This window comes from Homo sapiens, chromosome 19, assembly GCF_000001405.40.
Source record: "Homo sapiens chromosome 19, GRCh38.p14 Primary Assembly".
NCBI lineage: Eukaryota > Metazoa > Chordata > Mammalia > Primates > Hominidae > Homo > Homo sapiens.
The window spans coordinates 32,250,765-32,264,587 of NC_000019.10; positions in this window are offsets into that span (position 1 = coordinate 32,250,765).

The window sequence follows — 13,823 nt, forward strand, 5'->3', positions numbered from 1 at the left end:
GGGCATTGGTGGATTGATATTACCATTTCTTACCCTCCCCTTCTTGGTTATCAAGACAGACCGCAGAGTGGAGGCCTAGTACCCTGGGGGGTGGCATCTGCAGGATGGAGGCCCAATGCCCTGGAGGTTGGCATCTGCAGGGTGGAGGCCCAGTACCCTGGAGGGTGGCATCTGCAAGGTGGAGGCTCAATGGCCTAGAGGGTGGCATTTGCAGTGTGGGGGCCCAATGCCCTGGAGGGTGGCATCTGCAGAGTAGAGGTTCAGTACCCCAAAAGGGGCATTGGCAGGGTGGAGGTTCAGTGCCCTGGAGGGTGGCATCTGCAGGATGGAAGTCCAATGCCCTGGAGGGTGGCATTTGCAGTCTGGAACTTCAGTACCCTGGAGGGTGGCATCTGCAGGGTGGAGGCCCAGTACCCTGGAGGGTGGCATCTGCAGGGTGAAGACTCAATGTCCTGGAGGGTGGCATCTGCAGTGTGGGGGCCCAATGCCCTGGAGGGTGGCATTTGCAGGGTGGAGGCTCAGTGCCCTGGAGGGTGGCATCTGCAGGGTGAAGACTCAATGCCCTGGAGGGTGGCATCTGCAGTGTGGAGGTTCAATGCCCTGGAGGGTGGCATTTGCAGTGTGGAGGCCAATGCCCTGGAGAGGTATTCAAGAGATCAACCCACCTCAGCATTCCAAAGTGCTGAGATTACAGGGGTGAGCCATCACGCCTGGCCTTGCCTGGTGTTCTTAAAAGAAGAGATCAGGACACAGACACACTGAGGGAGACCATGTGAAGACACAAGGAGAAGACAGCCTCCTACAAGCCGAGGAGGGAGGCCGCAGAAGAAACTAACCCCCCTACACCTTGACCTGGGACGTCCAGCCTGCAGAGCTGCCAGGAAGCATACTTCTGTTGTTTAAGCCGCTCCATCTGTGGTCATTCGTTTGGCCACCCTAGCAGACTCATACACCTTTGGACCCCAAAAGTCGAGAACTGACGTGAACTTCCCTGTGTTCCACTGTGCTGTCCCTTCCACCAGGCGGATCCTGCCCAGTTGGTCTGAAGAAGGTGGGCAAACGCTGAGCGTCACCCCCAACCCCAGCCACCATTCTGCCCCTTCGGACTCGCCCCCCAACATTGGAGGTGGAAGTGACATGGATCAGCAGAGGGGGCCCGTGATCTGGGCCTCCCTCAGTGCCGACATCAGCAGGAGGGACCTGGGGCAACCCCCGCTGACATGGTTTGGATATTTGTCCCCTGCAAACCTCATGTTGAAATGTGACTTCCAATGTTGGAGGTGGGCAGAGGGAGGTGTTTGGGTCATGGGGGCAGATCCCTTATGGTGGCTTAGTGCCTTTCCTATGGTCATGAGTGAGTTCTCTCTCTGTTAGTTCACGCGAGAGCTGGTTGTTCAAAGGCGCCTCCTCCTCTCTCTCTCTCTGACGCCCTCTCCTGCCACGTGACATTGGCCTGCTCCACCTTCACCGTCCACCATGATTGGAAGCCTCATGAGGTCCTCACCAGATGCACATGGGGCCCCATGCTTCTTGTAAAGCCTGCAGAATCTGAGGTATTCCTTTATAGCAACACAAAACAAACTAATTCGTGCATGCGTCTGCACTGGGTTGGTACTTCGTGGTGTACTTTCCACTGTCGGCCCAGGCACAGAGCAATGCTGGGCGCTGGCCCCTCAGTGACTGTGAATTCCTGCAGGTAGCCAGCCCAGCTCCGCAGCCTCCCCAGAGCAGCCCACCATGCCTCCCCTCACCGCCCGTGCACCCAGGGACACCCACCTCCCAGTCACCTACCCCACTGCAGTGCCTGGCCCTGTGGTGCAGGGCGGGAGGGCCAGAGGCACGGGTGGGGGCATAAGAGCTCCTGGGGCTCAGCTTGGCTTTACAAGGGTCCAAATGGACCGTTTCATTTCCCTAACTAGCCTTCCAGGAACACTTCCACACGGGGCCATAAAAGAAGGTTTAGAACCAGGAACTTTTAGAAGGGCTTTTATCTCTGTGAGTGTCTATTGAGTTTTACACCCCTTCAGGGTATCTGTTGGCTGTGGGCGGAGAGGGAAAAGGCCTCTCATTAAATGTACAAAGGAAGCAGCGGCCAGAAATGCGTTGGACTCTTTGCTCTCTGGCTTTCAGGTAATTCTTGGGAGTTTTAAAACTCAGCTCCCAGGGGAGAGCAGGTGGCAGAGTGAAGAGCAGCGCCCTCTGGCAGCTGATGGTGATTTGAGGCCTAGAGGAGGTCCAGGCAGCGGCCTGCAGCACCCCACCCCCCGCCAAGGCCTCCTGAGGGCCACAACAGGCAGAGACAAGGAGCTGACCCATCGGAGGGGGGCATGCCCAGGCCCACGTGCACCTACAAGCATGCAATCCCCACAGACACCTGCACACACACACACACACACACACACACACACACACAGCATGCTTGCAGTCACTCCCAGGAGCAGGGTCACCCACAGGGACCTGGAAACACCCATCCCACCTTCCTTGGACCTTCTCTTCCCTGGTCACCAGGCCTGCACCCAATTCCACCCCCTGGGCCCTCCTTTCACTCCTCACCTCCCTCCCATCCTCTCTCTCTTCCCATACTCATAGTGACAACAGGCCATTTTCAGAAAAGGTGGCCGGGGGCAGCGCCATTGCTCCTGGCCGCTCTGGCCACCACCTGCTGAGCACATCTGAGGACAAGCTGCAGCAGCCCTCCTGGGACCCAGGCTGGATTCCATAGGGTCAGGCCTGATGCCAGTGGGCAGGTAAGGGATGGCAGGCCTGAGAGAGAGGCTCTCACCTCCCTCCCTTCCAACTTACAGCCAGCCACACCCTCAGGCTCTGGAAGCGAGTGCAGCCAGCTACACAATGTGCCCAGGTGCCCCCAGGTCCCTGCATGTTTCCCCACCTGTCTCAGAACATCCCCTCCACTGCCACCCGTGTGTTAATGCCAAACCATGGGCTCCAAGGCCCCAGCGTAGAAGCAAGGGTTAGAGTAGGCTTAGAGCAGCAGCGCCCAGCCAAGCGGTCACACTAGCTCTGTAGGCCACCCAGTTGGCACACGCCAAAGCCAGGCACGGCAGCATGCTCTTGGGAACACGGGCTGGAGAGCTCTGACTCCAGCTCCTGCGTTACCTGCCCACTGACTCTAAGCCTTTGTTTCTTCATCCGTACAATGGGAGAGAATCACAGAAGTAAGTCGCTTCGCAGGCCTGTTGTAAGAGCAGGCAACACACTGCATAGGAAGTGCTGAGCACCACGCCTGGCCCACGATTTGGCTCTCAACTCCAACTGTCACCATCTTGGCTATCATCCTGGCTACCGCTTTCCTGCTAACATTGCATATCCTACCCAATGTAAACAACCGCCCAGTGACCCGCAAAGGGCTCAGGCTTGTCCAAGAGCCAGGCAATCTACATTTTCCCACCAACCTACGGGGACAGGCAGCAAAAGCACTGGCCTACGCTCACCTCTGTAGCCCCCAACCACAGGACTCCAGCAACATCCGACCCTGGGCCTGGCTGGGCCCCATCTGTCTGGAAGTCTTACCCGGTTCTTTCTCTCACTCTGAGGCCTCCAGATAACCGTGGAGACCAAGACAGCCAGAGCCGAGCTCGAGAAATCATTCCGTTCTGACTAGGAAGGACGCTGACATTCCCGAGTCTATTTCCATCTCGGGGCTCAGAAATTTTCCAGAGACACCCTTCGCTCGGCGGTGAAGGCAGGTGCCTGCCAGAACAGTGCCCACACCCCCTGCCCCTAAAACCCTGCACCCCGAGCCCTCAGTGAACACAGGTTGTAACTTCAAAATCAGGAAACGGAACATTGCTAATTCTCACGGCAGCATTAACTCATTCACTTGCACATATGGGGTACTTGGATCCCAGTAGGTCTTCTATATATATAACTTATTATACAGTAGGTGCAACTTGGGAGAATTAATGTTGCTATAGGAACATTCGGATCAAGGCTGGCTTCCAGAGGGAAGAGAGAAAAAATAAGTTTTCCTCCTCAGTGTACTTCTCTGTTTTGAGTTTCAGAGAGGAAGGAGCGGTGTAATCAAGTCAGATGAGGCAAGGAGGGGCTTCCCTTAGTGGTTTGGAGAAGGTGAGAATTCCTGGAAGCTGCTCGCTGGGGAGAGAAGACAGAAAAGCTCAGAACATGAGCCAAGTGCCCTCGTGGCTAAGAGGACCAGGAAAGGGACTTCAGGGGCCAGATTCCCCCAGCCCTGGCCAGCAGCTCCAGGTGCCAAAGCTGGAACATAGCCTTGGGGTGATCTTCCCCTGAGAACGGGCTGAAAGCCACCTAAAAAACAGCATCCTGTGTACTCAGTCCCCCAGCCCCACACCCCTAAGTCTCATTCCTCCCAACTTTCCATCCTTCCCAACGATAAGGTGAAAGCAAAGGGGAAATTGAAAGTGAGTTTCGTGGTCTACACTGGCTCCTGGATGGACCATTGGGAGGACCCATCCCTGGCTGAAGGTCTTAAGCAGGCAGCGTATTGGAAGCTTGCATCCACCATAGCCTGTATAACTGAGCTCTTTCTTCCGGAGCAGCGATTTTGTGTCCACCTGTGAATGCTCCACCTAAACCAAACTATGTGTTAAAAACCCGGGCACTTGGCTCCAAACCTCACCTATTAGAGGTTTTCCTGATTGGTAAATCTGAACATGCATCGAATCCCCCAAGAGCTATGAGACGTGTAATTCTACTATCTCCTTTGCAGACGACAGGGGTCCTAAATCGTCCTCCCCCACTACCTTCCCTGGCACATCTGGGGATCTCAGCAGGCTATGGGTGTCGTGAAGGTCACAGCACAGCCAGACACAACACCTCACATACACCCCAAACACACACCCCAGGATGACTGCACCCCCCAGGCAGCTGGGCTGGCTCCTCTCAGCTGCCTTAGCAGTTGGCACTGTGCTGGGCAAGAGGAGATGGCTCAGAACGGGTTGGCTGCAGGAGTGGATGTTGAGCCCAAGATGGCAGCAAAGAGGGAAAGAAAAGATCCACATTCCTAACACCATTTTCCAGCTCAGTGTTCGCCAGGTGCCCACTCGTACCAGGTGCTATCTTATGCCTGGGGGATCCAGAGATAAATAAGATACTACCTCTGCTCTCAGGATGCTCACAGGCTGGCGCGGTGGCTCATGCCTGGAATCCCAGTACCTAGGAAGGCACAGGAGGTGGGAGGATTCCTTGAGGCCAGGAGTTCAAGACCAGCCTGGGCAATATGGTGAGAACCCCCCCCAACCCCATCTTTACAAAAAATAAAATTGTTTAACTTAGTCAGGCATGATGGCCCATGCTCACAGTCCCAGCTACTGGGGACGCTGGGGTGGAACTACTGCTTAAGCCCAGGAGGCTGAGGCTGCAGTGAGCTGTGATTGCACCACGGCACTCCAGCCTGGCCAACACAGCCACACCCTATCTCTGAAAAAATAAAAGAAAATAAGAAGATGCTCCCAGTCCACCAAGGGGAGGAAGAAGGAGAGGCCTGGAAATAAATAACCAAGGGTCATGTCTTGCTTCCTGCCTCCCCAGGAACCAAGCCTAGGTAGGGCTGAATAGGCACCTGCAAATGCCCATGCAAGGACCACTGAGATGGCAGAATGGCAGGGACCCGCCCAAGGAGAAGTACCAAGTGTCCAAAGGAGCCTGGAGTGGTGGGAAATTCATTCTGAACAAGGAGGCGTCGTCCCACAGGCTTTGGCCCGTCCCCTCCCACCCAGCTGACCAGAGACAACTTGCAAAGTCCACCAAGAAGCAAAGCCTCCTTTGCCATTCAGTATTTCAGACACATTCCACACACCACGACGGGCAAGGGGCCACTGCCGCCCAGAGCTGCTGCTTTGCATTTCATCTGAAGCTGTGTCTACTTTTAAAAACATATATAACAGTGAAGTGGAATCTCTAAGCGCTTTCCGGGCCACTCCGCTCGGAACTGCGTTGCCAAACATCCTAACCATTTGGAGGGGCTGAGTCCTAGAGATGGGGAGGAAACAGAACAGCCCTCTCCTCGGGGAAGGTGAGCAGAGAGGACATTAGCATTCTTCTCCTTCCTGCTTCTCAGATCGGATCATCTACGCTGTTAAAATAAAGGTGGATTTGCAGCATCCCAGAGTCAACAATTTGCCAAATTTCATGTCACAGACCAGCAAGGGAGATGAGTCTAATACACCCACAGATCCTGGTTACTCTCAGATGGGGGCAGGCAGGTGGTGAAGGGTTACCTGTTTAATCATCAAAAGCCCAATGGGTCTCCCGGGCATTGCTGAGAGAGACCCTCTTCTAGAGCTCCCAGGCCCCTCAGAGCCTCCTACACATTTGTCACTCTGCTCTGTGTCGGAAATTCTTCTCTTTGTTCCCTTAGCTCACTTTAACTCAAGTGTGGCGTTTTTAATTCTGTCTGTGGCATGATTTTCAAATTAAGCAGTTGGTGTGCTGACAGCTGGTGTTACAACTGGCCTATTCCCTCCCCCCGCCACCCCACCCACAAAGAGCCAACGTGGTGGGTGCACAGCCTCGAAGGAACTCACGCACGTTCCAAACACCCATCTCCTCCACGGGGGTGGTGGAGAGTTGTGGGGAGTGCTTCCGAAATGGGTGAGAGTGCTGAGAAGCTAAGATGGGAACAGACTCTCACAGCCCTGGGGACATCCTGGGGTGGGACAGGATGCATCCGAAAAATACTACGCTCCACTTTCCAACACACCTCCTGGGACACAATTCAGGTCCAAAACACCCTCTACACTGTCAGGATACCTCCATGCCCCTCATGGGTCAGGTCACAGGCCATGGCTAAGCACCAGCGCCCCTGCGGTGCCTGTGTGTCCCGTGGGTGTTACAAATGAGAATTCCAAGCAGAGTCCGATTTGAAAGTCCCATTTCTCTTATTCTTTTCTCTTGTTCTCTGTCTCATCACAGCCCTGGGACTGCTATTCACCTGACAACCCTGGACAGGTGAAGGCGTTCAATTTCCTGGGGAGTAGGCATTTCCAGAATTTTGCTTAGACGAGAGTACTCAGAAATGGTCCCTAAACATGGAAACAAAGTTGTGAAGGCAACCCCGAAAAGACCTGGCTTTATGGCATATGGAAGTAACTATGCACACTTCCAAGCCACATCCATGCCAGTTGGCCAGCCACAACCTGTCTCCACTCCCACGCCCCCACCTCCCAGCCCATGCCCATCATTGAGCTCCCCTTGTATGCAAAGCCTACTAACTTTAGAGAGTAACAAACAGAAGTGGTCATGCCACCTACCTCTCAGCCTCTGGCAATCCTTGACATCGTCTAACTTAACCATAGCTGATGGTGCCTTCTTTGTTTTTTCTTTTCCTGGAGGCATTTTTATCACCTTCATAATTTAACCCATTTCTGAAACTAAGCAAATGTTGCATATGCTAGCTGTAAAGTGGAAGTTTTGAAAATAATTTTTTTTGAAGTAAGGAGTATCCTAGATCTCAGAATCTGTAAATAAGTCAACAACTGTCCAGGCACAGTGTTTCACCCCTGTAATCCCAGCACTTTGGAAGGCCAAGGTTGGAGAAACGCTTAAGCCCAGGAGTTGGAGGCTGCAGTGAGCTACAATTGTTCCACAGCACTTCAGCCTGGGCAACATAGCAAGACCCCATCTCTAAAAGAATTTAAAAATTAGTGAGATATGGTGGCACACACCTGTAATCCTAGCTACTCAGGAAGCTGAGGCAGGAGGATCACTTGAGCCCAGGAGTTCGAGGCTGCAGAGCTATGATAGCACCACTGTACTCCAGCCTGGGCTACAGAGTGAGACTGTCTCTTAAAAAATAATAATAAGTCGGTCGGGCACAGTGGCTCATGCTTGCAATCCCAGCACTTTCATAGGCCGAGGCAGGCACTTGAGGTCAGGAGTTCAACACCAGCCTAGCCAACACAGCGAAACCCCATCTCTACTAAAAATACAAAAATTAGCCGGGCATGGGGACAGGCGCCTGTAATCCCAGCTACTCAAGAGGCAGAGGCAGGAGAATCGCTTGAACCTGGGAGGCGGAGGTTGCAGTGAGCCAAGATTGTACCACTACACTCCAGCCTGGGCGACAGAGTGAGACTCCATCTCAAAATAATAATAATAATAATAATAATAATGTCAACAATTAATCTAAGTATCTAACATCTTATTCATATCAATACAAAGCTGAGATTTCTGCATAACAAAGAATGTGTCATTCCTCTTTGCAAAGTTAAATAAAGTGTTCACAAGACCGTTCCTCCAATGGAACTTTTCTTTGGCTCCTATGGCTTCCAGGAAAATGCCCAGAGTCCCACCAAAGCCTACAGAGCCTGCCTGATTGGTCTGTGCCTCCCCGCAGCCATGATAGCCCAGGCCTCCCCTCCCCTGGCCTTTCCACTCCTTAAGCATGCACACCCCTCCCTGCTCTACGGGTAGCCTTGTGCCCACCCCTCTTTCTCTATTTGACCAACTCTGCCTCATTCTTTTCATTCTACATAAATGATGCTCCTTCAGGAAAGCAGGCCTTTTCAGACTCTACTACAGCCTCTAAGAAACCCCACTCTTTTCCTTGAGAGCATGTTTCATTCCTGCAAATATGTAATTACTTGGGAAATTATAATTTTACTACCTGTCTAACTTCATATGGGCAAGAACTATCCATTTTTCTCACCATGGTATCTCCCACCCTAAACAAATCCCTAGTGCATAGCAGATCCTCAGAAAATGTATTTTTTAATGGAGCATGGATCTCCATTATTGAGTCATGCACACAGTTAGGCTTTTAGAAGGAAAGGGGATGAAATTGATAGGTTAGACCTCATCAAAATTAAAAACTTTTGTTCTGCAAAAACTCTATGAAGAAGATTAAAAGATAAGCTCTAGATTAGGAGAAATTGTTGCAAACCATATATCTGACATGACAAAGGACTAGTATCTAGAATACATAAAGAACCCTCAAAACTCAACAGTGAAAAGAAAAGAAACTAATTTAAAAATGAGCTAAAAAACATGAACAGATACTTCATTGACAAGGATATACAGATGGCAGGTAATCACATTGCTACAGGAAAGGGGTCTGGATCCAGACCCCGAGAGAGGGATCTTGGACCTCACGTAAGAAAGAATTCAGGGTGAGTCTATAAAGTGAAAGCAAATTTATTAAGAAAATAAAGAAATAAGAGAATGGCTACTCCATAGACAGAGTGGCCCTGAGGGTTGCTGGTTGCCCATTTTTATGTTTATTTCTTGATTATATGCTACACAAGGGGTGGATTATTCATGCCTCCCTTTTTTAGACTATATAGGGTAACTTCCTGAGGATGCCATGGCATTTGTAAACCACCATGGTGCTAATGGGAGTGTAGCAGTGAGGATGACCAGAGGTCACTCTCATCACATCTTGGTTTTGGTGTTTTTGGCTGTCTTCTTTATTGCAACCTGTTTTATCAGCAAGGTCTTTATGACCTGTATCTTGTGCCGACCTCCTATCTCATCCTGTGACTTTGAATGCATTAACCATCTGGGAATGCAACCCAGTAGTTTTCAGTCTTATTTTACCCAGCTCCTATTCAAGATGGAGTTGCTCTGGTTCAGAAACCTCTGACAACATGAAAAGCAAAGTACACTTGGCAGTAGGTTTTGAAAAGTCTATTTTCTTTATGTTCAGAGATTCTACTTCTGCAGATTGCTCCAAAGGAAATAGAAATGTGAAAAATGATTTCAAGATCCAGGAAGTGTATGGTAGACTGGATAAAGAAAATGTGGCACATATACACCATGGAATACTATGCAGTCATAAAAAAGGATGAGATCCTGTCCTTTGCAGGAACAGGGATGGAGCTGGAGACCATTATCCTGAGCAAACTAAGGCAGGAACAGAAAAACAAATACCCCGTGTTCTCATAAGTGTGAGCTAAATGATAAGAACACATGGACACATAGAGGAAAACAGCAGACACTGGGGCCTATCAGAAGGTGGAGGGTATGAGGAGGGAGAGATTTAGAAAAAATAACTAGTGAGTACTAAGCTTAATAGCTGGGTGACAAAATAATCTGTACAACAAGCTTCCATGACACAAGTTTACCTGTATAACAAGCCTGCACATGTTCCCCTGAATTTAAAATAAAAGTTTAATTTAAAAAATAATGTCAATTGTAGCATTATTTACTTACAATATTTAACCCTCTAAATCTCCAACTACAAGGCATTAGTTGTGCAAATTGTGTTTCATCCAAAAGAACCTAAAGGGCAGGCGCGGTGGCTCATGCCTATAATCCCAGCACTTTGGGAGGCTGAGGCCGGTGGCTCACCTGAGGTCAGGAATTCAAGACCAGCCTGGCCAACATGGTGAAACCCCATCTCTACTAAAAATACAAAAAGTAGCTGGGTGTGGTGGTGCATGCGTGTAATCCCAGCTACCCAGGAGGCTGAGGCAGGGGAATCACTTGAACCCAGGAGGCGGAGGTTGCAGTGAGCTGAGATCACACCACTGCACTCCAGCCTGGGCGACAGAGTGAGACTCCGTCTCCAACAAACAAACAAAAAGTACCTTGAATTTAAACTCCTCCAAGGCGAGGATTTTTGTGTGGGCATCAGTGTATCCCAAATGCCTTCATGAAATGAGCTTCATTAAATATTATCAGATTGGCCAGGCAGTGGTTCATGCCTATAATCCTGTCACTTTGGGAGGCCAAGATAGGCAGATCCCTTGAGCCCAGGAGTTTGAGACCAGGGGCAATATAGCAAGACCCGTCTCTACTGAAAACAAAAACAAAAACAAAAACAAAAAACAAAAAAAAAAAATCTAAAAAAAAAAAAACAAGATAATTAGCCAGGTGTGGGGATGTGCCCCTATAGTCCCAGCTACCCAGCTACCCAGGAGGCTGAGGTGGGAGGATCACTTGAGCCCAGGAGGCTGAGACTGCAATAAGCCATGATTGCACCACTGCATTCCAGCCTGGGCAACAGAGTGAGGCCCCATCTCAAAAAAAAAAATCAATATATCAGATTGATTCAACCTGAATGATGAAACACTCAGCACCACGGAAAATCATGACATGAGAAAATGTTCACAATACAGTAAGTAAAAAAAAAAAAAGAAGAAAGAAAGAAACAGATTGTAAGACTCTACATACATCATAACCACAGTTTTGTTTAAAGGAAAAGAAATATACGTATCTTTGCATATTAAAAGACTAAAGCAAAGTAAACCAAAACATTAGCAAAGACTATCTCTGGTGAATGAGACCTTAGGAATTTTTCTTTTCTTTCTTTACCTTCTTTCATTTCTTTTGTGTGTGTGTATGTGTGTGTGTGCGTGTATTCTATATAAAGTATTCCAAATTTTCTACAAATAACATTTATTCGTTTTTCAAACAGAAAATAAGACAGTAAAGTGAGGCCAGACACAGTGGTTCATGCCTGTAATCCCAGCACTTTGGGAGGCTGAGGCGGGCCGATCACTTGAGGTGAGAAGTTCGAGACCAGCCTGGCCAATATGGTGAAACTTCATCTCTACTAAAAATACAAAAATTAGCTGGATGTGGTGGCAAGCACCTGTAATCCCACCTGCTTGGGAGGCTGCCACAGGAGAATCGCTTAAACCTGGGAGGTGGAGGTTTCAGTGAGCCAAGATCACGCCACTGCACTCCAGCCTGGGTGACAGAGTGAGACTCCACCTCAAAAAGAAAAGAAAAGAAAAGAAGACAGTAAAGCAGTTTGGAATCCATGTGGAGTTGTGATTTCTGAAGCAATAATGGAATTGGCAGGGATTTGCAGGGAACGCCCTGCCCATTGGCCAACAGCACACCTCCCAGCAATTCAGCAGTTTCTCAGACTACAGTCAAAATGGCACCTTCGGGATCTTATGCATAAACCGGCACCTATTGTCCTCTTGTTTACTGAGTATTTTTCCTTAAATTGAGGCTTTTTATTTAAAGACATTTCTTTACAGGGAATCTTGATCACGACCATGAAGGGAAATCCGTATCACTTGTCATAAATAAAATGAAACTGTACAATAGATTTCATTTCTTTAAGTGGCCTTATTTAGCTCTAGCTGAATACTGTCGCCTGCAGAAGGTTCTGAGTCGGAGGCCTGCTCCCTCTTTTGTGACAAAAGAAGATTAGCAAATGTAAGAGAAGTGGGCGTTAAAGACATATCTGCAGCAAAGAAGCGTTTCTTCTGATATTGTCCGAAGGCTTGAAAGTGGATTGAAGGAGGAATGACATGTTGAAGCCGCATCGTTGTCTGGGGTAATACGCAAGGTTCATTGTCCCATGGCCACGGAAAATTGGGACTCAGACACACTAGAGTGGGGTTAAGAGAGGAAGTTTAATAGGCAAAAGAAAGCGAAGAGCTCTCTGCACAGAGAGGGGTCCGGGAGAAAGTGGGTTGCTGCTTCAGCGGTGAAATGCAAGAGGTTTTATAGATGAGCTAGAGGAGGCTGTGTCTGATTTACGTAGGGCATAAACGATTGGTCGGACCAGATGTGTCATTTGCATAAGGTATGAAGAAGCTGACCACCCCACCCTAATCTTTTATTATGTAGATGTGTTCTCTACCTTGCCGGCACCATGTTGCCTGGGTTCTTTTTTTTTTTTTTTTTTTTTTTTTGATGGAGTCTTGCTCTGTGCCCAGGCTAGAGTGCAATGGTGACATCTCAGCTCACTGCAACCTCCATCTCCCAGGTTCAAGCAATTCTCCTGCATCAGCCTTCCAAGTAGCTGGGATTACAGGTGTACGCCATCATGCCCAGCTAATTTTTATGTATTTTTAGTAGAGACAGGGTTTCACCATGTTGACCAGGCTGGTCTCAACCTTCTGACCTCAAGTGATCCACCCACCTGTACCTCCCAAAGTGCTGCGATTACAGGCGTGAGCCACCGCGCCCAGCCAACTGTGGTTCTTTACTGTACATGTGGTGACACAGAAAAGGGAAGATGGAGCCTCCATGTTGAACATACCTGGCTTCCAGGTAGCCCTTTTCTATTGGCGCAGTTACCAGCACTTACCCGTGCAAGCTCCTAGCTTGCTCATTTATGTTTGCAGCTCGATTTTTCAGGCTGCTCTTTGTTGGTTTAGGGGCTGCTTTTTGTTGAAAGGGAACCCTTGCGGAGGACTTGTTTACTCTCACTATCTGCGTAACTAATTTCTTTCCAGCTCCTGTATCAGTTTGATTCCATGTCATTTATTGCCATGTCCCTGTAGTACCCACAAGCATTCCTCAGGCTATCCGTGGTAGGCATTCCACACTCCCGGGCTGACTGGGCCTCACTGCTGAGCCTAAATGAAGCCCTGGGGTGCACCAGCCTCTGCCACGCTGGGGATCCACTGTCCCCCTCTGCACTGTCCCATACCTACAGCCCTACTGTCAGAGGCGTGTGAACAAGAGCAACTCCATCTTGAATAGGGGCTGGGTAAAATGAGGCTGAGACCTAATGGGCTGCATTCCCAGATGGTTAAGGCATTTTAAGTCACAGGATGAGATAGGAGGTCGGCACAAAATACAGGTCATAAAGACTTTGCTGATAAAACAGGTTGCAGTAAAGAAGCCAGCCAAAAGCCACCAAAACCAAGATGGCCATGAGAGTGACCTCTGGTCGTCCTCACTGCTACACTCCCACCAGCGCCATGACAGTTTACAAATGCCATGGCAACGTCAGGAAGTTACCCTCTATGGTCTAAAAAGGGGAGGCATGAATAATCCACCCCTTGTTTAGCATATCATTAAGAAATAACCATAAAAATGGGCAATCAGCATCCCTCAGGGCTGCTCTGCCTATGGAGTGTCATTCTTTTATTCCTTTACTTTCTTAATAAACTTGCTTTCACTTTATAGACTTA